This window comes from Homo sapiens, chromosome 20 (genome assembly GCF_000001405.40).
Source record: "Homo sapiens chromosome 20, GRCh38.p14 Primary Assembly".
NCBI lineage: Eukaryota > Metazoa > Chordata > Mammalia > Primates > Hominidae > Homo > Homo sapiens.
This window is the reverse complement of record NC_000020.11, coordinates 24,935,951-24,960,779: the sequence shown is the minus strand read 5'-3', so window position 1 is coordinate 24,960,779 and position 24,829 is coordinate 24,935,951. Positions and strand designations below refer to the sequence as shown.

General features: G+C 50.2%; 1 protein-coding gene across 1 annotated transcript, besides 2 other annotated features; it reads right to left on the bottom strand.

The window, feature by feature from the left end:
* Window positions 1-851: 851 nt before the first annotated feature.
* CST7 (cystatin F) lies at window positions 852-11,511 on the bottom strand. The gene is made up of 4 exons (NM_003650.4): window positions 11,205-11,511; window positions 3,321-3,493; window positions 1,736-1,852; window positions 852-1,145 (listed from the first exon to the last, which is right to left on the bottom strand). Exons 1-4 carry the CDS (start codon window positions 11,272-11,274, stop codon window positions 1,068-1,070), a joined length of 438 nt encoding a protein of 145 aa, NP_003641.3. The 5' UTR covers window positions 11,275-11,511; the 3' UTR covers window positions 852-1,067.
* Window positions 5,403-5,532: an enhancer, noted in NCBI's record as "active region_17653". NCBI's record gives its function as "activates an Ori minimal core promoter by ATAC-STARR-seq in GM12878 lymphoblastoid cells {active_cell/tissue: GM12878}" and the evidence as "EXISTENCE:reporter gene assay evidence [ECO:0000049][PMID:35858748]".
* Window positions 11,796-11,845: an enhancer, noted in NCBI's record as "active region_17652". NCBI's record gives its function as "activates an Ori minimal core promoter by ATAC-STARR-seq in GM12878 lymphoblastoid cells {active_cell/tissue: GM12878}" and the evidence as "EXISTENCE:reporter gene assay evidence [ECO:0000049][PMID:35858748]".

Sequence of the window (24,829 nt, the reverse complement as noted above, 5' to 3'; positions counted from 1 at the left end):
CTCCAAGGGGTTAGGTTAGTGACTGCCAGAGTCACAGCTGGCACAGCCGAGCCAGCCTCCCAGGGATGTGACTGGAGAAAGCGCAGGTGAAGCTGGGAGCAAGGGTGACAGTGCCTGACTGGGCAGTGGCCCCTGCAGCCTGTGGATCATGGCAGGGCACTGACTCGAGCCTTGGCTGCACAGCAGAGTCCTCTGGGGCGCCCAGGGCTCAAGGTAGCCCAGTCTGGCACTTCTTCCAGTCTTCTTCCAATCCTGGTGCCCTCCAGCCCTCGGTGGCCTCTCCCTCCTCGTGCACCCCCAACAGAGTCATCTTCAGTGGGGCGTCCTCTCTGGAGGGCTCTGGGGAGCGGTCTGCTGCTCTGCCCCCACTCAGGCAGCAGGGCAAGTCCCTGGGAGGCCTGAAACTCAGGGAGGCACAGTTGTGGCCCTGCTCCTCCTGGTGCGGACAGCTCACCTGTTCTGGGGCTTTGGCCTTCGGGGGGTTATAGCTAGCAGCTCAGGCTGGCCAGCCCCCCAGAGGAAGTAACTTCAACTTGTCAGACCCCTTGGTAAGGGAGATCCCTGGTAAGGCTTGCCTCACCTCCCGACTCTCCCGTAAAAGGGCCGGCATGGCTGCTGCTGGCTGTTCATCTTGATTCCCAGTTGTGTTCATCACAACCGGCCAAGGCGCCCAGTGGCCAACAGTGTCCCCACCCACATCTCTGCTGATTATTCAGACCCAGAGCTGTACCCCTGCTCTCCTGGGGGCCTGTAGCCACAGGGGATCATCCCTTAGTTTCACAACTCCCTCCATTGACTCAGTCCCCTGCACCCAGACCCGGAATCTAGGTGGGAAGCCTCAGAAACAGGAGTTAATTTTAGAAGCAAATGTGATCTATTTAATCTGTTAGGAGGTGCTACCATGCTGCCATTCCAGCTGCCCTGCGGTGACCCAGTGGCACTTCACCCGCTCACTCGTCAGAGGCCTGAGAGGGTCTGTGAGGCTGGGTCATGAGGCGGGTGGGAGGGGACAAGGAGCATGCATCCTGGTGTTTGTCATGGCTGTGGTCTTGCTGAAGAGGCGGGGGTCAGTGACAACGGAGAACAGGCACCTCGAAGTGCTGGAGCCAGGGCACGACCCAGACTTCAGAGTAGCAGCTCAGAGTCTGAAACAGAGAAGGGCACACCTGAGAGCTTAGACTTTCCCTGCGGGGAGCCCTCTGCCCGTGGAGGGGTGGTCCTCATGGAGGAGCTCTTCTCCTGCCCCTATTTTTCATTTTGAAAAATTTCAAACCTACAGAAAACTTGAAAGAACGATTTAAGAAAATGTGCTTTTCACCTCTGTAATTGCTAAATGTTGCTGTGTTCCCGTTCTCTTGCTCTCTCTGCAGAGATATGCTATATATGATATACATATGATACATATCATATGTATGTATATGATACATATATAATTTCTGGATTGTTTGAAAGCTTTTCTTACTCTAACCCTCTCCACTCGCACCCCAGGACGCTCTTCCAGAGCTGTGTCTCCGCCTCTGGGACGGGAGGATGTCATCTGAGGAGCTCCTGGCACAGGCTCTACCTCCTGTTCTCCCGGATCCTCAGTCGTGCGGGAGTCTGGGAGGCCTGGCTTCCTCAGGGGTGAGGTTTGGGGCGCTGCGTTAGAGACGTGGTGACGGTGTTTTTCACAGTCCTGGGAGGGAGTGGGCTGGGGAAGAGAGGGCACATCTGAGAGAAGGGCCTGCTGCTTTACCTGCTTCAAGGTGTGGTTGGTTTGGAAGTCACAGTCATCCAGACGCAGGTGCTGGTTTTTCTTGCAGGTAGTTCTGCCAATTTCCACCTCCAGCATATATTTCAGGCCTTTCACTATCTGGAGGGAGCAAAGGGACTGGGTTACTGGGCACAGGGGAGGGAGGGCAGGCTTCTCCACTAGGAAGCAGGGCCTCAAGACAGTGGTGCAGGTGCCCACCGAGGAGAAGGGAAGTGGGCCAGCATCTTGGGGCAATGCTTCGGGCTTACGGCAGAGCCTGCAGACCCCTCCCACTCCCCTCCCTGCCCCGTGCTGGGTTTGTGCCCCTTCCTGAGACAGATGTCTCCTTTCTGGCCAGAGCTCTGCACTCAGGAGGGACGTCACACTAGGTCTCCTGCATGCCCTGCTGGGCCCGCCCTGCAGCCCTCACTCCAGCCCCATGATGGCTGTTTCTTGTGGCCTCTGTGTCAGGCCTGGGGTCTGCGGGCTTCCCCTCTCCATTCCTGGGGTCGGGAGTTTTGAGTTTCTGGACAGCCCTTCTCCACTTGGATATGGCAGCCGCCTTGTTCATTCTCATTTGTGGTCTTAGAGGAGTTGAAGAAAAATTCCTCAGGTTTTAGTCTCAGCTTTAGGGGAATTACGTTGTCCCCAATATCACCAAGCTAGAGAGAGACAACCTCCAAGTCCCCTCCCAGAGAACCCCAAGGACTCAGAACCAGGGCATCCCACTGGCCTACCCGGAGAAGGAGGGAGGGCCTGCATCACCCAGGGAAGATCCCCTGTCCCTGAGGCCAGGCTGCAGAGCGAGGACCCTGGCTACACACCCACGATTCTCATATGAAAACATGCTGTCCTTCACAAGTTTGCAATTGTCAAAAATAATTAGGTTATAAAAATCACCCCTCCCTGTGACCCAGCATAACCATGAACACTGTGAAGACTGCCTTGGACAGGGCTGCTTCTGCCCCTTACAGGCACCAGCACACGGTGGTGGGTGTCATCCACAGCCTGCATCCCACATTAGCAAGTGGGTGTTCTCAGGACACAGACAAGGGTCCTCTAGGAGGGAGGGTGCTGAGCGGGCGCAGTAGGAATGAGTCAGGGAAAGGGCAGTGGCTTGGGCAGAGCTCTTGGACTCTGGGATGTGAGTGAGCACTCCAGGGGGAAAGTGGCAAAGACACCTCTGGGCTGCAGGGCACGTGAGGGGTGAGGCCGGGTGAGGACCCTGGTCCCAGCAGGGGCAGCTCCTCGGACAGCGGCTTTCTCCCCCATCAGCCTTGGCGCCTGCCTCAGGAGCCCCATTAGGGCCCTGGCACCTCCTTACCCCATGCCTAGTAGGCTCTGGGCCAGGGGCCTGGTAACCACCCAGGAGCCGTGTGCTTTGTGTAACCTTTGCGCTTGGCCCTGGGGGATGCTGGCCTCAGCTGCTGCTGTCCACTCCCACCCCTTGTGCATCTGCTTTCTGCTCAGAGCTCTGCACTCAGCAGGGACTTCACATTATATCCGCCCTGCTCTCCTAGGTGTCGCGTTGTAGCAGCTCGGCTTCCTAGGGGTGTCCGTGATATGTGACCAGAACCCAGACCGTTACCTGAACTAGGGCCCTTGTGATGCGGGACTCCTTGAACAAGAACATGTCGTTCGTGCAGTTGTTGAACTTTTCAACACTGTATCTGGCTGCTTGGAGGACTCCTGGGTCATTGGTCTTTATTGTTTTAGGAAATCCTGGCTTCACACGTGAGTTAAGGTCCTGGGAACAAGTATCTGAAAGAGACAAAGAGCCAGACAAGAACACTGATGTTAGTGGGGCCTTCAGTCCAGGTGTCACGCCTCATGCCTCTGTGATGCTCAGTTCTCTGCTGGCGTGTGTGTCCTGGCCCTACCCACCCCTCACCTGCTCCCCCTCTTACCTACCCCTGTCACCTGTCCCTGCTTACCTGCCCCCACCCTACCCACCCCTAACCTGCCCCCCTCACCTGCCCCCTCACCTGTTCTCCCTCACCTGCCCCCTCTCACCTGCTCCCCTCACCTGCCCCCCTCACCTGCCCCCTCACCTGTCCCCCCCGACACCCCTGCAGTGCATTTATTGCTCCATTTTCAGAGCTGAGGACCAGGTGCCAGGGGGTGCAATGAACCTGTCCCCCACTTTCAGAACCCAGGGTTATTTCCAACGTAAGTGTTAAAAGCGGAACATGTCCCACAGGTGAGATCCTCAGTACGGGATGTAGCCTTAGGATGTAGGGAAAGTCAACCCCAGCCTGGCCCTCTGGGCGGTAGATGGAGGTAGTGCCTCCCACCGGAAGGAGATGGCGCCGTCCTCGTCTCAAGACCTTTTGCCCGCCTGGCTCTCAGTCTCAGGCCCAGCCCCCAGGAGGGCACCCCTCCTGGCAGCCTGCAGCACTTGGTACCCCTGCGCTGCCTCCTGACTTTCCAGGGACAGTCTTTTTCACTCCTATGAGTGACAGTGCACTGTGTCCCCAAGCTTCGTTGGGGTCGGGGAGGCCTGCCCTTCCTGTACCAAGGAGGGCTATATTTGGATAAAAGATGGGGAAGCAGCATCGGGGGCCTCCCCCACAGTCATGTCCCCTAGTATCTGTGCCTGAGGCTGCAGGACGTGCGTCTTTGTGCCTGCTATGGACTGGATGGAAAGCTGGGCCCCAGGGTGTTGAGGGCAGGGTGATTGGGGAATGGGAGGGGACAGGCTTCATAGCTGGGCACTGCAGGGAGGCCTTGCCAGGACGTCAGTGTCAACTCAGAGCGAGGGCCCCAGAGGAGGCCATTCCCACTGCTGTGTGAGGTCTGCAAGAGGCCTTTCCTGGGTCCTGGATGTCTGTGGGTGCACACCAGACCCCACCAAGGGTAGACAGGATGACGAGGTTTCTGGTCACCACGTGGCACCCCCAGGCTGGGTGGTGCAGCGCCGGGAGTGGGCAGAGAAGCATGGGACTGGAAGTTCTGTGGCCTTGGGATTGTCGCCCCATCCCGGTAAAGAGTCTCCATTGTGAAGGGAGGCCACCTGGCAAATGGCTGTCCCGTGGTTGGTTCTGGGCCAGAAGGTGAGCTTCATGGCTGGGCTTTGGATGACTGTGCCTGCCTTGTGCTTTAGCAGCCCAGGGAGCCTGGCCTTCCATCCCAAAAAAGCAGCGCAGTGCTGGTGCCCCACCCCATAGAGAATGCTGGCCACGTGCTGGTCCTGTGTGCTGGTGGATAGCTGTGTCCTGCGCTGGCATGCCCTGGGACTGTCCTTCACACTAATTAGTGTCACACACATCCCCCCTGAAACTGCTGCAGCCTTTGCTTAAGAAGACTTTAGGTGGCTCACGTCTGTAATCCCAGCACTTTGGGAGGCCGAGGCGGGCAGATCACGAGGTCAGGAGATCGAGGCCATCCTGGCAAACACGGTGAAACCTGGTCTCTACTAAAAATACAAAAAATTAGCTGGACATGGTGGCGGGCACCTGTAGTCCCAGGTACTCGGGAGGATGAGGCAGGAGAATGGCGTGAACCCGGGAGGCGGAGCTTGCAGTGAGCCGAGATCGCGCCACTGCACTCCAGCCTGGGCAACAGAGCGAGACTCCGTCTCAGAAAAAAAAAAAAAAAAAAAGACTTTAGGCCTCTGAAGATGGAATAGAAACCGCTCTGTTCCTGAGCACCAGGGGCTGAGCTTGGCCATCTAGGGGAGGTCCTGGAACCTGCATTTCCCCAGGCTCTCAGGTGACTCTGACACTGGTGTTGGCAGTGAGGGGTCCCTTGGGACCTGCAGTGTTACCATCAGGAAGGAGGGGTCCCCAGAGCCAAAGGCAGCTCCTTCTGGTCCTTGTGCTTGTTGATGACAGGAAGTTGAATGTGGCTTTTAGTTAAAACAAAAAACTGTTCTGGAAACCAGCTTGGTTTCAGCTCATCACTGTCATCTGAACAGCAGAGAAAGAGACACGTGTATGGAAGGGGTAGCATGTGTTCAGTGTATTTTTGCTGTCAGATTAGCGTTTTTTTTTGTTGTTGTTGTTGTTGTTTTGCTTTCTTTCCTCACATTACATTAATATGGCTGTCCATTGTTTTCTTTGTAAAAACTACATTTTATGGCTTTTTCTGACTATAAACTTACCTATTTTTGGTAGAAATTTGAAAAATACAGAGGAGCATAACAAAAAATAATTATTTTTAATATCTTAAAGCTAACCACTATTAACTTTTTTAAAAAATAAAATGTATTTACTTTTGCTTGAGATTAACAGAATTTTAAAAATGAAGTGAAACTCAGTTTACGCTGAACTTCAAATAAATTTCCCTTCCAAGCTCATGACGTTAGTTCCTAAAAGATTGTGGTAAAGTTACAAAAAGGTTATGAAAAATACTGAAATTGGTATTTTTTATTTAACTACATGTTTCCTAAAATGTAGGCTTCAAGTCAATAAACCTTTCACTGTCTTACAGTTGTCTAAACAGATATTAAAAGCTCAGTTTTTAATTTAAAATTGTTTAAAAGTCAAACCTATTTTTAGGATGATTTGTTTAGAGAAATTAACAAGGAAATGTTGATCATTAAGAATTAACACCCCAAAGAGGCCACTCATCTTCAGGGAAGAAAACAAGCAGTCCAGCAGGTGGTGAGCGAATGCAGCTCTTTGAGAGCCTCCGATGGAGTCAAGGAACTGTGAAGAGGACCCCCCAGGGAGGGGGCTCTGGGTTTGCTCCGTGCAACTGAAGGCAGGGAGCGGGAGAATGGGTGCTCTCCTCCTCTGCCTGCTCTGTCTGGAGGGCCCTGCGATGCTGTTTCTTCTCATGTGTGCCCATTCTGCAGGCGAGGAGACCAAGAGCTTGGAGTGCAGGGTGGGGGGCTAAACCCAGGTGTGACTAATTCGAAACACCACTCTCACTTTTTCCTCATTCAAGACGGACTGTTTGGCAGGTGCTAGGGGAGATGCAGGGTGGACTCTAAGACAGGCCCCGCCCACAGTGGTGGGGAGGCAGAGCAGGCCTGGGGCACAGGAGAGGACACCAACCTGAGGGTAAAATGGGTGAGCAGAGGGGCAGGGGATGGGGGAGCAGCTGCAAGGTGGCTGAACTGGCCTAGGGGAGGAGGGAGCTACGTGCTGGGAAGAGTTGGGGAGACCCCGCTGGAGGCTGCTGCTGGGTGCAGAGGGTGATGGTGGTGATGGCCGCGATGACGTCAACGGAAAGAACCCACGGACCGTCAGGCTTGTGAGAAGAAACAAAAGGCACATAAAATCCGTCTGTATAGAAACAATGCCTGGGGCAGGCCAGGCCTGCTCGAGGGGAATGGGGGACCTGCCATGTGCGAGGCTCGCACCAGGAGCCTGCCGGGGCAGCCTGACCCCAGCCCACCACTGCTTCTAATGCGGGGTGGGAGGGGAGGTGGGCCATGCCTGAGACAGGTAGGGAGCTTCCAGACGTAGAAGCTGGAGGTGAGGCAGGGGCGGGCAGGGCCTGATGATACCAGGTGCTGAGCAGGCCCCAGGACACATGGTCACAGGAAGGCAAATGAAACTGTCCCCTAAGGTTGACAAGAATTGCATGCCAGGTTCTGGACAGAAAGATACTCATAATTAAGCTTGAATCAGGCTGCTGCTGGCCCAAGATGTTTTTCAGATCCCAATTCCAGCAACCAGTTTGGAAACCCCCCACGGAGGAACAGGATCATCACGAAAATACAGCTTCTTCCTCTCCCTGTGCTGTGACATCACGCTGCCCCTTCCAGCTATCGAGCTCCAGAACCCTTAAAAACCCGGGCCCCAGCCTCCTCGGGGAGATGGATTTGAGTTTCCTCCATCTCCTTGTCTGGTGATCCTGCGATCACCCTGCTTTTCTGCTGCAGCCCCGTGTTTCTGAGCATCTACTGGCTGTGTGCATGGGGCAAAGTCCTGTCCGGGTGCCCGAGGACCAGTGTGCAATGGGGTGCAGATGTGAAGCTGCCAGGCCAGGGGAGTTGCCAGGGCCTCTGCCCAAGGCAGCAGGGAGCTGCAGTTTCTGACAGCTGCTGGGCATGCCCTGGGCAGGGTACGTTCCTGTCCTCAGAGCATAGGCCCAGTGGCAGAGCTGGCACTAAGCCAACCTGAGGAGAGAAAACATGGGCAGGGATCGCTGTGGTGGCACCAGGCAGACCCTTCCCACCTGCCTTTAGTAGGAAAATGGGTGGGCACAGCGGGGGCTGGCATTGCCCACCTCCTCCCTCTTTCAGGAGTGTTCTAGGTGTGGCCGGGAGGTTGGGAAGCCCCTGCTTGTGAAACCATCCCTGAGATGGGGACCTGGGTGCCGAGAGCTGGACGCAGATGGTCCCTGCTGGTGTCCCTCCCTGTGTCACCTCAGGGGGTGCCCTTTCCATGGGCCAGTACTGAGCTGGGTGGGGAGACCCTTTGAGAGGGGCCCCATCGGCCCCCATCACCCAGAGCATAAGGTCTGCATGGCTGTGCCTGAGCACTGGGGTGTTGGGGGGGTGCAAGTCCAGCTTAGAGGTGCTGGTGTTCACTCTGCCCACCTGGAGACGCTTCACCCCAAGCCCTCTCACATGACACCATCAAAATTCAGAGAGCCTGGGTCCTTGGGGCCACACCTGCCCGCTGTGCTCTTGGGTCTCTGCCTGATGGCTAATGGCGGAGTCTATCTTTTGAGGGCACACACATGCCCCTGGCACAGACAGGACACTGAGCTCTACCAGATCAGTCCCGACCTTAACCCACTGGGACACACCCGGAGTTTGAATTCCAGCTCTGCTTCTCACTGGCTGTATGATCTCAGGCAAGCTGCCTAACCTCTCTGAGCCTCCGTGTCCTCACCTGTAAAATGAGGATGCTGACGACAGTGAGAATATATGAGGCAACATACACGAAGCACTTGTCAATAAATGATGTGCAAAACTGTAATCATTATCAATATATCAAAATGCACATGGCCACAGCAGGGGTCTCAGGGCAAATGAATGCCCCCATTGGGAAAAACAAATCTTGCCACGTAGACGGTGGCTCAGCCTGCGGCAGCTCCCAGTGCTCCCCAGGAGGCAGGAGGTCCCCGGGCTGCAAGTGGTCTCTCTGCTACTGGGAAGTAAGGACTGACATCACCTTGCAGAGGGAAGCTGAAATGGCTCCCTGACCCCAGGGCCCCTGTCCAGGCAGATGGGCCGTTGCAGCTAGAGTGGAGGGGGCAGAGGATGACATGGCACCTGGCAGAGCTTCCCAGAAGAGATGCCCATCAGATTGAGAAAGAAACAGCCCTTTTCAAAAGGGTGGCGGAAGCCAGTGTGGCAATTTCCTAGGTTCTGAAAGCCTCAGGGAGGAGAGGTGCCCTGAGGGGCTCAGCGCTATGGTCTGTGCAGTTCAGTGCATGGGTGTGGAGAGAGGCCAGATGCTCAGACGGCACCACCCTTGGGGTCCCTGTTGCTTCCCCGCCCCCTACCCCCCTCAGTCATGAGGAAGGCTCTGTAATTTATTCTCAGAGGAGGCAGCGGAGGGGCTGTAGGAGTTGTGGAGTGGGGGCAGGACGCATGCTTGTGTCTGGGGCCCAGGTTCCCATCTCTTTTTTGCTGCTAGACTGGGGGCCTCCCAGCACCCTCCCTATACAGCCGAAGACTGAAGGCCCTTGCTGGAAGCACCAGAAATGATCACAGCGCCTGGGCAGGGTGCTGGGGGCTGTCACCAGCACAGTGGCAGAAGGGCCTGCACTAGACAGAGCAGGGGGCTGAGGCTGGCGGAGAGCACCCCATGCCCCATGTGCCTCCATGCCTGTGCCTTCCCCGAGCCACCTCTGTTCAGCCTCCCCAGGGCCGGAGACGGGGTGCAGTTATCTTCCCATTTCATGGATGGTAGGACTGAGGCTGAGGGCCCGCTCTGTGTGTGTGAACGTGGGCTCTGGAGCTTCTCTCTGGGGTTTGGTGGCTGACAGCAGGTCTGCTGAGAATGGAGGGAAAGGCTTGGTGCAGCATTACATACCAGCGAGGGGCCGGGAACACCACCCAGGAAAATGACGTTGCCAGCTGCCCAGCACATCGGCTCCCACGCCACCCTGTTATAGTCCCTAGCCTGCTCCGTGAGATGAGCAGAGCTCTGAAACCCCTCAGCAGTCAGTAGGTTTAATTAGATCCCAGGACACGCTAGGACAGCTGGCTCCATGTCCCCTCCAGGAGAGCCTTTTCTGAGGTGTGAGAACGAGCCACTTCTCTGGAGTGAACTTGCCTCTCTTCCCTGCTTCCCCCTTGGACCTTGGAGACACGAAGGGGCAGGGCACAGAATGGCAGCAGGCAGGCAGCACTGCATCAGGACAGGGCCAGGAGGAGAGGCCCCTGTGAGGCTGGGAAGCAGGTGGAGGGCTCCTTGCGTGAGCTAAGAAGGCTCCCAAGCTGGGAGGCAGGGCCGGGTATGCTGTCCCCAGCCTTCTGCCAGCCATGGGTCAGCTCCATGTTCGCTGAGCACTACCCAGAGCTGGTGGCGGTGGCATGTTCCCATCAGTGAGAGCAGAAGCTGCCCCCGGCCCCTCCTCCAGCCTGCCGTGTCCCCTTGGCTGCTCAGTCGCAGCGTCCGCCCTAGGCCAGGCCTGGGAGCTCGACACAGTGTCCCCCAGCATCACTGAGTCCTCAGTATCCTGACTCACCAGGAGGAGGTGAGAACCCTCCAAGAACCCCTTGGGTGCTCTGGAGCCATCCTCTTGTCAGTGGTCCTGCTGCACAGCCCCCACCTGGGCCCCTTTGGCCAGGCTCCAGCCCCCTTCTGTCCCTGTCTGCTGGGTGGGGGTCATATGACTTGAGCGGGTCACCTCAGCCCTCTGGTGCCAGCTTCCTGGTTGGTTAAATGAGGTGGGGGCCTCCCAAGTCCCCATCAGTATCCTGGTCTGATTCCTGTGCCAGGGAGGCCATGGCCCAGTTCCCTTTGGGGGAGAGCAGGTTGTCCCTGGCTGTGTGACTTGGGCAAATCACCTAGCCTGGCTGTGTCTCAGTTTCCCAGTGCACAGGCAGTGGCTCTTTCCTCCCTGTCCCCCCTCCCCCTGAGTGCTGACCCTCAGGGAGTGGATTTCAGGAAGGGTGAAAGAGTCTGATCGTTAGGGTCCCTGGAGCCAAGTCACAGGACAACAGCCAGCAGGAAGGAATGACAAGCCATCAGATAGAAGCGGCTAACCACAGGCATGTGGCTGCCCTGTCGCCTCCGTCCCGCAGAGGAGCTGCGGGAGACCTGCCTTACTTAGACCTTTCTCAGACCTCTGTGAAGAGCCAGAGAATAGAAGATGCTTCCCTTGCCCCTAGCCTTCTGGGGCAGCCCCCAAACCCTTCATCCCTGTAGCCTGCTACCCCCAAAGGTAGCTGCAGCCAGATGGAGCCCCTTGCCCCTCTCACCACTCCCAGCACCTCTCACCACCGCATGGTCCTGTGGGGGCTCCAAGCTAGGAAAGTGCCCTGGGGAAGACCCAAGGCACCAGTGGCCAATCTCAGGGAGAGACCCCCGGGGAGCGGACAGGGGAGAACGCCACTTACCTGGGGAAGGGCCCCCAGTGGTGCTCAAGACCAGGCAGCAGAAGGCCAGCAGAGTTCCAGCCGCTCGCATGGCTGCCCGGGTAGGGACAGTGCGGGGCAGTTGGGGGTGGCCGTGCAGTGCCTTCTCAGGCAGCATGGGGCAGTTGGAGGCAGTGGTTGGTGCCCGTGCCGAGCCTTCTTGGGTAGATGGCGCAGGGCAGGTGGGGGCAGTGGTCTGTGCCCGTGCCAATCCTTCTCAGGCAGCACGGGCCAGTGCCGGGCAATGGTTTGTGCCTGTGCTGAGCCTTCTTGGGCAGCATGGAACAGTGGGCTGTCCCAGCCCAGGGGCAGGTGCCAGGGCCACAGCATGGAACCCCACCCTGCAAACCACTGTGGGATGGGGCAGGGGCGGGGCTAGGGGGCTGCCTGCGTGGTGCTGGGGAGGGGAGTGTTTTGCTGCTGAATCATTTTGGCCAGAAGCTCTTCACCTTCAGATCTATCAGCCACAAAGCAACCGCTTCCTTTATAAAAGTTTCCGAGCAGCCGTCATTTGCTGGGGGAGGAGGAAGAGACATGAGACCCATGAGCAAATCCTGATGCAATGTTCTACCCCTGAGCCACACACGAAAGAGATGTTGCATGAAAAACATTAGCAGGAATTTTCAAAAGCAAAATCACTTGATTTTCCTTTTTCTTTTAATTACTTAAGTTCTGGGGTACATGTGCAGAACATGCAGGTTTGTTACATAGGTATACACGTGCCATGGTGGTTTGCTGCACCCATCAACCCATCATCTACATTAGGTATTTCTCCAAATGCTATCCCTCCCCTGGCCCCGGATCCCCAGATAGTCCTTGGTGTGTGATGTTCCCCTCCCTGTGTCCATGTGTTCTCATTGTTCAACTCCCACCTATGAATGAGAACATGCGGTGTTTGGTTTTCTGTTCTTGTGTTAGTTTGCTGAGAATGATGGTTTCCAGCTTCATCCATGTCCCTGCAAAGGACATGAACTCATCTTTTTTATGGCTGCATAGTATTCCATGGTGTATATGTGCCACATTTTCTTTATCCAGTCTACCATTGATGGGCATTTGGGTTGGTTCCAAGTCTTTGCTATTGTGACTAGTGCTGCAGTAAACATACGTGTGCATGTGTCTTTATAGTAGAATGATTTTTGAGTATATACCCAGTAATGAAATTGCTGGGTCAAATGGTATTTCTGGTTCTAGATCCTTGAGGAATCACCACACTGTCTTCCACAATGGTTGAACTAATTTACACTCCCACCAACAGTGTAAAAGCGTTCCTATTTCTCCACATCCTCTCCAGCATCTGTTGCTTCCTGACTTTTTAACGATCACCATTCTAACTGGCATGAGATGGTACCTCATTGTGGTTTTGATTTGCATTTCTCTAATGACCAGTGATGATGAGCGTTTTTTCATATGTTTCTTGGCTGCATAAATGTCTTCTTTTTAGTGTCTGTTCATATCCTTCACCCAATTTTTGATGGGGTTGTTTTTTTCTTGTCAATTGTTTAAGTTCCTTGTAGATTCTCGACATTAGCTCTTTGTCAAATGGATATATTGCAAAAATTTTCTCCCATTCTGTAGGTTGCCTGTTCACTCTGATGACAGTTTCTTTTGCTGTGTGGAAGTTCATTAGTTTAATTAGGTCCCATTTATCAATTTTGGCTTTTGTTGCTATTCCTTTTGGTGTTTTAGTCATGAAGTCTTTGCCCATGCCTATGTCCTGAATGGTACTGCCTAGGTTTTCTTCTAGGGTTTTTATGGTTTTAGGTCTTAAGTCCTTAATCCATGTTGAGTTAATTTTTGTATAAGGTGTAAGGAAGGGGTCCAGTTTCAGTTTTCTGCAAATGGCTAGCCAGTTTTCCCAACACCATTTATTAAATAGGGAATCCTTTCCCCATTGGTTGTTTTAGTCAGGTTTGTCAAAGATCAGGTGGTTGTTGATGTGTGGTGTTATTTCTGGGCTTCTGTTCTGTTCCATTGGTCTATATATCTGTTTTGGTACCAGTACCATGCTGTTTTGGTTACTGTAGGCTTGTAGTATGGTTTGAAGTCAGATAGCATGATGCCTCCAGCTTTGTTCTTTTTGCTTAGGATTGTCTTGGCTATGCAGGCTCTTTTTTGGTTCCCTATGAACTTTAAAGTAGTTTTTTCCAATTCTGTGAAGAAAGTCAATGATAGCTTGATGGGGGATATCACTGAATCTATAAATTACTTTGGGCAGTATGGCCATTTTCACAACATTGATTCTTCCTATCCATGAGCATGGAATGTTTTTCCATTTATTTGTATCCTCTCTTATTTCCTTGAACAGTGGTTTGTAGTTCTCCTTGAAGAGGTCCTTCACATCCCTTGTAAGTTGTATTCCTAGGTATTTTATTCTCTTTGTAGCAATTGTGAATGGGAGTTCACTTATAATTTCACTCTCTGTTTGTCTATTATTGGTGTATAGGAATGTTTGTGATTTTTGCACATTGATTTTGTATCCTGAGACTTTGCTGAAGTTGCTTATCAGCTTGTGGAGATTTTGGGCTGAGATGATGGGGTTTTCTAAATATACAGTCATGTCATCTGCAAACAGAGACAATTTGACTCCCTCTTTTCCTATTTGAATACTCTTTATTTCCTTCTCCTGCCTAATTGCCCTGGCCAGAACTTCCAACACTATGTTGAATAGGAGTGGTGAGAGAGGGCATCCTAGTCTTGTGCCAGTTTTCAAAGGGAATGCTTCAAGTTTTTGTCCATTCAGTATGATATTGGCTGTGGGTTTGTCATAAATAGCTCTTATTATTTTAAGATACAGTTCATCAAAACCTACTTTATTCAGAGTTTTTAGCATGAAGGGGTGTTGAATTTTGTTGAAGGCCTTTTCTGCATCTATTAAGATAATCATGTGGTTTTTCTCATTGGTTCTGTTTATATGCTGGATTACGTTTATTGATTTGCATATGTTGAACCAGCCTTGCATTCCAGGTATGAAGCTGACTTGATCATGGTGGATAAGTTTTGATGTGCTGCTGGATTCAGTTTGCCATATTTTATTGAGGATTTTCACATTGATGGGACATCAGGGATATTGGCCTGAAATTTTCTTTTTGTTGTGTTTCTGCCAGGTTTTGGTATTAGGATGATGCTGGCCTCATAAAATGAGTTAGGGAGGATTCCCTCTTTTTCTCTTGTTTGGAATAGTTTCAGAAGGAATGGTAGCAGCGCCTCTTTGTACCTCTGGTAGAATTCAGCTGTGAATCCATCTGGTCCTGGACTTTTTTTTGGTTGGTAGGCTATTAATTACTGCCTCAATTTCAGAACTTGTTATTGATCGATTCAGGGATTCGACTTCTTCCTGGTTTAGACTTGGGAGGGTGTGTGTGTCCAGGAATTTACCCATTTCTTCTAGATTTTCTAGTTTATTAGTTTAGAGGCATTTACAGTATTCTCTGATGGTAGTTTGTATTTCTATGGGATCACTGGTGATATCCCCTTTATCATTTTTTATTGCATCTATTTGATTCTTCTCTCTTTTCTTCTTTATTAGTCTTGCTAGTGGTCTATCTATTTTGTTGATCTCTTCAAAACACCAGCTCCTTGATTCATTGATTTTTTGAAAGGTTTTTCATGTCTCTATCACTTTCAGTTCTGCTCTGATCTTAGTTATTTCTTGTCTTCTGCTAGCTTTTGAATTTGTTTGCTCATGCTTCTTTAGTTCTTTTACTTGTGATGTTAGGGTGTCAATTTTAGATCTTTCCTGCTTTCTCTTGTGGGCATTTAGTGCTATAAATTTCCCTCTACACACTGCTATAAATGTGTCCTAGAGATTCTGGTACATTGTGTCTTTGTTCTGATTGGTTTCAGAGAACATCTTTATTTCTGCCTTAATTTCATTATGTACGCAGTAGTCATTCAGGAGCAGGTTGTTCAGTTTCCATGTAGTTGTTCAGGTTTGAGTGAGTTTCTTAATCCTGAGTTCTAATTTGATTGCACTGTGGTCTGAGAGACTGTTTGTTATGACTTCCATTCTTTAGTATTTGCTGAGGAGTGTTTTACTTCCAATTATGTGGTCAATTTTAGAATAAGTGCAATGAGATGCTGAGAAGAATGTATATTCTGTTGATTTGGGGTGGAGAGTTCTGTAGATGTCTATTAGGTCTGCATGGTCCAGAGCTTAGTTCAAATCCTGAATATCCTTATTAATTTTCTGTCTCATTGTTATAATATTGACAGGGTGTTAAAATCTCCCATTATTATTGTGTGGGAGTGTAGGTCTCTTTGTAGGTCTCTAAGAACTTGCTTTATGAATGTAGGTGCTTCTGTATTGGGTGCATGTATATTTAGGATAGTTAGTTCTTCTTGTTGAATTAATACCTTTACCATTATGTAATACCCTTCTTTGTCGTTTTTGATCTTTGTTGGTTTGAAGTCTGTTTTATCAGAGACTAGGATTGCAACCCTTGCTTTGTTTTTGGTTTCCATTTGCTTGGTAAATATTCCTCCATGTATTTATTTTGAGCCTATTTGTGTCTTCGCATGTGAGATGGGTCTCCTGAACACAGCACACCAATGAGTCTTGACTCCATTCAATTTGCCAGTCTGTGTCTTTTAATTGGGGCATTTAGCCCATTTACATTTATGGTTAATATTATTATTATGATTTTGATCTTGTCATTATGATGCTAGCTGGTTATTTTGCCCATGAGTTGATGCAGTTTCTTCATCGTGTCAATGGTCTTTACAATTTGATATGTTTTTGCAGTGGCTGGTACCAGCTGTTCCTTTCCATGTTTAGTGCTTCCTTCAGGAGCTCTTGTAAGGCAGGCCTGGTGGTGACAAAATCTCCCAGCATTTGCTTGTCTGTAAAGGATTTTATTTCTCCTTCACTTATGAAGCTTAGTTTGGCTGGATATGCAATTCTGGGTTGAAAATTCTTTTCTTTAAGAATGTTGAATATTGGCCCCCACTGTCTTCTGGCTTGTAGGGTTTCTGCAGAGAGATCTGCTGTTAGTCTGATGGGTTTTCCTTTGTGGGTAACCCAACCTTTCTCTCTGGCTGCCCTTAACATTTTTCCTTCATTTCAAGCTTGGTGAATCTGATGATTATGTGTCTTGGGGCTGCTGTTCTCAAGGAGTATCTTTGTGGTGTTGTCTATATTTCCTGAATTTGAATGTTGGCCTGTCTTGCTAGGTTGGGGCAGTTATCCTGGATAATATCCTGAAGAGTGTTTTCCAGCTTGGTTCCATTCTCCCTGTCACTTTCAGGTACACCAATCAAATGTAGATTTGGTCTTTTCACATAGTCCCATATTTCTTGGAGGCTTTGTTTATTCCTTTTCATTCCTTTTGCTCTCATCTTGTCTTCTTGCTTTATTTCATTAAGTTGATCCTCAATTTCTGATATCCTTTCTTCCACTTGATTGATTTGGCTATGATACTTGTGTATGCTTCACAAAGTTCTCATGCTGTGTTTTTCAACAACATCAGGTCAAAAAAAAAAAAAAGTTAGATGAATTGCTAACTAGAATAACCAGTTTTGAGAAATCACTTGATTTTCTTCTCCAAACCGTATACCCCTCCTGCCCAAACTTCTGGTGTTCCAAGTGGCCCCAGGCAGGAGGCTCTCTCTCCCTATGGGGTGAGTGGGCATCTGGCTGTGGCAACTCCATGGGAAGGTAGGTCCTGACTGCAGCTTCCGAGGATGAACATCTCAGCACGTGTCCTCCCCCTGCCTTTGGTGATTTCTGCACCTGGAAAACAGATGAGCAGGGTTTGCTGATGAAGCAATTGATCACTTTCCATCTTTGGCTCAAATTCTATAAAAGAGGGGAAAGAACAGTATGCAGCCCAGGAGGAAAGAACCCAGAGGTTCTGGTTTCCTGGCCTAAGCATTCATTTCCATGTTCAGCCCATGGTTGGGGTGGGGCCCTGGAGCCAGGTGGCCTGCATCAAAACCCTTGTTCTGCCTCCCAACACCTCGGTGACCTTAGCCAAGGAAGAGTCCCTCCCAACCTCAGTTTCCCCCTAGAAGCTGTGGTGAGGATTTGCAGACTTCCTCAGTGTAAATGCTCAGGGCTTGGAATAGAGCTGGCAGTTATGGCTTCAGCCTCAGGCGAGTTCCTGTACCCTCTTCTGAACTGGGCGGTGTAGGCAGTGGGAAGGAGAGGGAGACACCTGGGCCTTGAAGGTCATGGCGGGAGGAGCTGCTTGACCGGCCATCAGAGTCAGAGTCAGAACCTTCATTTTAACACCATCCCAGGGAAGCTGTGCCCCAGGTGGGTCCTGCTGGGTCATACCAGATTTCAGGCAGGGAGATCTGGGTTTGCAGGACTGAACAAGCCACATAATCTCTCAGGGCCTCTCAGGTCTTTGCCTACTTGGAGATTTGTTGTGAGGATTGTTACCAGGAAAAGGAATTTAGCACATGGTAGAAGGTGGCATTCAGGAAAAAGCAGCTGCTGCGACTGTCCCCCATTGCTCTGCCTGTCCTGCTCTGCTGGTCCTGAAACTCAAATCCTCTGGCTTTTGGCCACTGTGCACCAGGGCTGTGGGCGAGGACTCTTCTCCAGGCCTCTGTGCCCTGATTTCATGTGTCCCATCTGGGATTCACTCCTGCAGAGGGAGAGGCAAGACCTCAGGGGCCTCAGCATTGGTGACTTTGCCCATGACCAAACACAGGCAGGGAAACAGATTTTACCCTCCAGGGAGCCGGGAGGGCAGATTGTTGTCACTGCTTGCTGCTGCTGGTAGTGTCATGTGCTTTTCTCACTTTCAGACTCACTGGACGAAGCTCAGAGTGGATGTGGGACTTGGCTCGGTCCTTACAGCTTCACTCAGCCTAGGCCCTCCCATCTGTGAATGTGGGTGATGGTCGCTCACACTCTCTGGCCTTGCCATGCCGAGGCCTGCCAGGCAAACAAAGGCACATGGTGGCCCCAGTTAAGTCATAAAATGCCACAGTAGTGAGCGGCTACTGTTACAGTAACATGGTCATGGGTTCTGGGGAAATGTGTGCGTGTGTACATGATATGTGTGTAGATGTGTGTAAATGTGTTTGTGTCTCTGTGTCTGTATGCATGTGTGTCCAGAAGTCTGTCTTTGTCTAGTGTGAATGTGTGTAAATATTTTCTGAATGTATATGTGCTTATATGCATGTGTGTAAGTCTGTGTATGTTTGCTGTGATGGTTGATTTTATGTGTCAAATTGAACCATAGGGTGGCCATATATTTGGTTAAATATTTCTGGTTTGTCTGGGGGGCATTTCTGGATGGGATCACCATTGGAATTGGTGGACTCAGTGACACAGACTGCCCTCCCCAGTGTGAGTGGGCCTCATCTATCCATTAAAGGCCTAAATAGAATAAGAGGCTGAGTAAGAAAGAATTCTCTCTTTCTGCCTTTCTTTGAGCTGGGACATCAGTCTTCTCCTGCCTTTGGACTTGGACTGGAACTTGCACCATTGACTCTCCTGATTTTTGGATTTGTGGAGGAACTTACACCATTGGCTCTCCTGGTTCTCAGGGCTTCAGACTTATACTGGAACTTATACCATCCAGCTATCCTAGGTCTGGACTTCTGAGCCTCCACAATTGTGTGAACCAATTCTTTATAATAAATGTATGTATGTTTTTATATGTCTCTATCTCTGTCTTTCTATACTTCTATTGATTCTGTTTCTCTGGAGAACCCTGGTTAATACAGATTTTGTCAGGAGTGGGGTTGTAAAGGAATAAAATTTTAAGGATAAGTTTTCTGCATTTGTTCTGGAATTTCTGGAATTGGCTCTCTGATATGATTAGATTTAAAGACTGTTAGTGACTGTATTTCCAGTAGTAAAGAGAGCATTGGTAGTCTGTGTGTGTGCCAGAGCTGGTGTGATCTGGCAATAACAATATGAAAAATATCTTCTTTGGGTTCTGCTAATCAATCAGTTGTAAGAAACAAGTTCTGGGTGACCATGCATATAATACTTCCAAACGTTTTTGTAAATCTAACAAATATAATGGGGTTGGCTGGTTGTTCCTAATGTCACTGGACAAAGTGGTGAAAGTAAAAGATGAACTCAAGGATTTGAATTCCCAGCTCAATAGTGTTGCATACATGACCTGAAAGCTGCTTGGTATTCCCTGAAGCCACAAGGCTGAGATTGCTGAAAATCAAACATAGAATCTCATCTTTCCATTGGCTGAATGTAAGTTGAACTCTCAGCCTTGCTGAGGTTGACTGTTAAAGTGAGGGCATTGACTGGGAAAAAATGAGATCCTATAAGTTAGAATGGGGACATGTGGGAAGATTCTGATGAAACTGGAGACATTGAGCCCCTAAATTCTAATGGGTCTTCTTTGCCAGTGGAGAGGCCTTTCCATTTTCAGTGAAAGGTGCATCCCGCTCTCTCAGGAGTTAACTCTGCATTTCCTGAGGAAACTGTAATGACAATTGTCCTGGAAGGAAGACAATACTGATTCTTCTCAGGACCCACCCCCTTTGCTTCTAGGCCTATACCTAGGCTCAAGTCCCATCAGGTCCCTCAAGGTGAGGTACAGGGTATGACCCATGAGGAGATGTGCTAAACTCTTAAAGAGCTACTCAGGTTTTCTAATCTATGTGAATAGAAATCTAGGGGACATGTGTGAAAATAGATATTGAGGGTTTTGTATAATATAATGGTGGAAGAAACATAAAGTTGGATCAAGTTGAATTTATTGACATAGGCTCACTAAGCAAAAATTCTGCATTTAATGTTGCAGCTCAGAGAGTTAGAAAGGGCTTTAGCCGTTTGGCTCGTTGGTTGGCTGAAACATGGATCAAATGATGACGCATAGTAAGTGAATTGAAAATGCCTGGCCTGCTTTGGTTTAATGTAGAGAAAAGGATTGAAAGGCTTTAGGAGATTGGAGTGTTAGAGTGAATTTGTTATTTAAGGGCTACTCCCCCACTGGGAAGGCCCAAAAGACTCCCCTTTTACAACTCCTTTGAGAAATAGATTTGTGAGGGGGAACCCCAGCATCTTTGAAGACCTCTGTGGTCACTCTTCTCTTTGGGCCAAAATGGCAGCCACTCAGTTGGGAAACCTAAACGCAGTGGGAGTATTTGCATCCTGGGGTGACAGAGACCAAGAGGCAGCATTCTTGGCACCACCAAAGACAAGGTGAGAATGGTTATACTGATGGACGGCATGGTCAAGGCAGCAATCAAGTAGTCTGACTCCCATATACCCATGACATCAGCTAGTTGATCATGGTGTTCCTAGAAGTGAAATGGATAGGATACCCATTAAATTCCTCGTTGATCTGAATAAGCAGAAAAGTTCTAGGTCAAGTGAACAAAATTCGAACCTGAATCATAAAAACAGGGAGTCACACTCCCTCAATCAATTCAAAGACTTGAGCCAGTTTACAGACCCAGAATCCCTTGAATGAAGGGGACGTCACTTTCCTTTGAGAAAGAACCCCAGTACAGTCCCAAACATTTATACTGTCAATATTTCTCCCAGCCTTCTCGAAAGGGATCTACAGCTTTTTTTTTTTTTTTACCAGGGTTACTGTGCATTGGGAAAAAGGAAATAATCAGACCTTTCTGAGACTACGGGATACGGATTCTGAACTGATACTAATTCCAGGAGACCTGATATGTCACTGTGGCCCTCCAGTCAGAATAGGGGCTTATGGAGGTTAGGAGATCAGTGGAGTTTTAGCTCAGGTCCATCTCACAGTGGGTCCAATGGCCCCAGAGCCCATGCTATGGCTATTTCCCCAGTTCTGGAATGCATAATTGAAGACATGTTCAGCACATGGCAGAATCCCCACATTGGTTCCCTAACCTACATAGTGAGGGCTATTATGATGAGAAAGACCATGTGGAAGCCACTAGTGCCTTCTCTAACCACCCCCCACCAGTAGTAAACAGAAAGCAATACCACATTACTGGAGGAATGGCAGAGATTACTGCTGCCATCAAAGATTTGAAGGATGCAGAGGTGGCAATTCCCATTGCATTCCCATTCATCTCTCCTGTTGGCCTGTGCAGGAGAGAGATGGATCTTGGAGAATGACAATTAAGCATAGGCTTAACTGGGTGGTAACTACAATCACAGGCTTCTGTGCCAGATGTGGTTTCATTGCTTGAGCAAATCAACACATCTCCTGGTACCTGGTATACAGCCATTGATCCGGCAAATGTTATTTTTTCCTCTGTCCCTGCTAATAAAGACCACCCGAAGCAGTTTGTTTTCAGCTGGAAAGGCCAGCAGTCCATCTGCACTATCCTGCCTCAGGATGTATCAGTACTCCAGCCCCCTCCCACACTTTCATTCTCAGGGATCCTGATTGCTGTTTCCTGCCACAAGATGTCACACTGGTCGATTACATTGATGCCATGATGCTGATCAGAGCCAGTGAGCGTACAAGAAGGAGCAGATACTCTAGACTTACTAATAAGACATTTGTGTGTCAGAGCTAGGAAATAAATCCAACAAAAAACTCAGGGTCTCCTACCTTAGTGAAATTTCTAGGGCCCTAGCAACCTTTCTAAGATTAAGCCCTTCTAAGCCCTTCTAAGGATAAGTTGTTTCTTCTGGCATCTCCTACAACCAAAAATGAAGCACAATGCCTAGTGGGCCTCTTTGGATTTGGGGGGCAACGTATTCATTACTTGGGCTGCTACTCCAGCCCAGGTACCAAGCAACTAAAAGAGCTGCTAGTTTTGAGTGGGGCCCAGAACAAGACAAGGCTCTGAAACAGGTCCAGCTGCTGCACAAGCTGCTCTGCCAGGTGGGCCATGCGACCCAGCAGATCCTATGCTGCTTGAGGTGTCAGTGGCAGATGGAGATACTGTGTGGAGCCTTTAGCAGGCCCCTCTATGTGAATCACAGTGCGGGCCGTTAGGATTTTGGAGTGAAGTCCTGCCATCTTCCTCAGAAGACTGCTCTCACTTTGAGGAGCAGCTCTTGGCCTGCCACTGGGCCTTAGTACAGGCTGAACACTTAATTAACCATGGACCACCAAGTCACCATGCGCCCTGAGCTGTCTATCATGAACTGGGTGTTATCTGACCCCGAAAGCCATAAACTTAGGCATGCACAGCTGCACTCCATCACCAATGGAAGTGGTCTATACAAGATCAGGCCTCAGCAGGCTCTGAAGACACAAGTAAGTTACATGAAGCAGTGGACCAGATGCCCAAGGTTCCCATTCCTGTTAAGCTGCCTTCCCTCTTCCAGACACACTAATGGCCTCATGGGGAATTCCCTACAATCAAGGAAAGAGAAGAGAAAGAGAAGACTCTAGCCTGGTTTACAGATGGTTCTGCATGATAGGCAGGCACCACCTGAAAGTGGAGGCTGCAGCACCACAACCCCTTTCTGGGACATCCCGGAAGGACAGTGGTAAAGGGAAATCCTCCCTGTGGGCAGAACTCCAGACAAGAACTCTGCTTGGAAGGAGAAATGGCCAGATGTGTGATAATATATATATTCATGGGCTGTAGCTAATGGCTTGACTGATGGTCAGGGACTTGGACGGAGCATAATTGGAAAATTAGTTAGAAGGAAATTGGGGAAGAGGCATGTGGACAGATTCCTCTGAGTGGGCAACAAAAAGCATGATGATATTTGTGTTTTATGTGAATGCTCATCAAAGGATGACCTCAGCACAGGAGGATTTTAATAATCAACTGGATAGGATGACCCAGTCTGTGGATGCCAGTCAGCCTCTTTCCCCAGCACCCCCTGCCATCACCAATAGGCTCATGAACAAGGTGGCCATGGTGGCAGGGATGGAGGTTGTGCATGGGCTCAGCAATGTGGACTTCCACCCACCAAAGCCAAGCTGGCTGAATGCTCAATCTCGGGAGAGCCCTGACTAGAAACAAGTGACACAAGTGCACTTGTGTCTGTGCCTCTGTCTCAATGTGTGCAAGTGCATATTGTTTGTGTGTCTGTGTCTTCATGTCTGTGTGTTTGTGTTTATATGTGTCTGTGTTCTGTGAGTCTGGCTGAAAGGCTCTGTATATATGTCTCTGCATGTGAGTGAACATGTGTGTGAAACTGCACATGTGTGGATGTGTGCATGTCTGCGTGTATCTCTCTGTGTCCATGTGTGGTTGTATGTGTTAAGTGCACTATTTCTCATCCAAGGCACCACTGACCTGCTGCAGGGGTGATGGGCTCCGTGCTGAGTGTCAGTCCTTCATTTCTTCATTCATCCATTCATTCACTCACCCATCCTTTAGCCCCTTGCTACTTAAAATGTGGCCCCTGGGCCAGCAGAACCAGCGTCCCTGGGAACCTGGTGGAAATGCACATTCTCAGCCCTATCCCAGACCTGCTGGATTCGACTCCCCAAGGGTGGGGCCCAGGGTCTGTCGTCACAAACCCTCCAGGAGAAGTTTTGGCCTCCAAGGTTTGAGAAGCTTTGATTTAACCTGTGTTGTTGCTCCCCATCCTCTCCTTCCTGTAACGCATGATGTCCTCTGGCCTCCATGGTGTGCCCAGTGCTGACCTTGGCCAGTCATCTAACCTTGCAGAGAACTCAACTTTGCCCATTCCCTGGTCATAAGGCAGGGCTCCTGCACAAGATCTGTTGTCCCGAGGGCTGTGAGTGAATGTGGGAGGGACAAGGGGTGGCCTATAGACGTGGGCACAGCAAAGCCAAGGCTACAGGCATGTGCTTCTCCCCCATGGGTGTGCCACGCCCACTGATGCATCTTTCACTGGCTGTGAAGCCCCCAGGCTCTGTGGAGCCAGGACTTCTAAGGCTGGCCCATGCTGCAGGGAGCCTCCTTGCTCTCACTCAGGTGGGCAGGAAGGACTGTCTGTGTAATTGGAGGGATTCCAACAGTCACAGGCTGTCTTCTGTTCTCCTCCCCTGTGTGTCTCCTGGGAGCCCTTCCCTGCCTGGCCTTGGGGTGAAGAAGAGGGAGGTGGAGTGTGGGTGGCCTGGACCCCTGGGAAGCTGGCTGCTGGGTTTCCCCCACTGTCCTGTACCCCATCTCCTACAGCTCAGCACAGAGTTCAATCCCATTGTATTTTACTAGATAGGTCCCATCTCAGTACAGATGGCATTGCTGTGTAGATGCCCTGGATAGGCCCTGCCTTCAGGGTCACTTGCCTTGTTACTATGATTGTGGATCAATTCTGCAACCTGTAAGGAGAATCTAATGAAGTGGGCTGTTATTGGTATTAGTCATCTACTGCAGCAATGACAACGAACTTCACAGCTCAAACAACATACTCTTCTGTCTCATGGTTTCTGTGGGCCTGGAGTCTGGCCTGGCTGAGATGGGTGCTCTGAGTCTCACCAAGCTGGCCAGAGCTGGAGCAGGGCAATGTGACTGGGGCTGCAATGTAGGGCGGGCAGGGGCTGCAGTCTCATCAGAGGCTCAACTGTGGAAGGGGCTGCTTCTCAGGTGAAGGGCTTTCAGCTGTCAGTTCCTTGAGATAGTCAGTTTCACCTCCTTACTGGCTGTTGGCTGGAGGCCGCCTTGAGCTCCTAGCCATGTGGGCCTTCCTGACAGTGCCACTGGCTTCCTGAAAGCTGGCACAGGAGAGATTGCATCTTGGAAAAATGGGTTACAGTCTCACATGCCATTAACATGGATGTGACCTCCCATCACTTTTGCCATATTCCAGT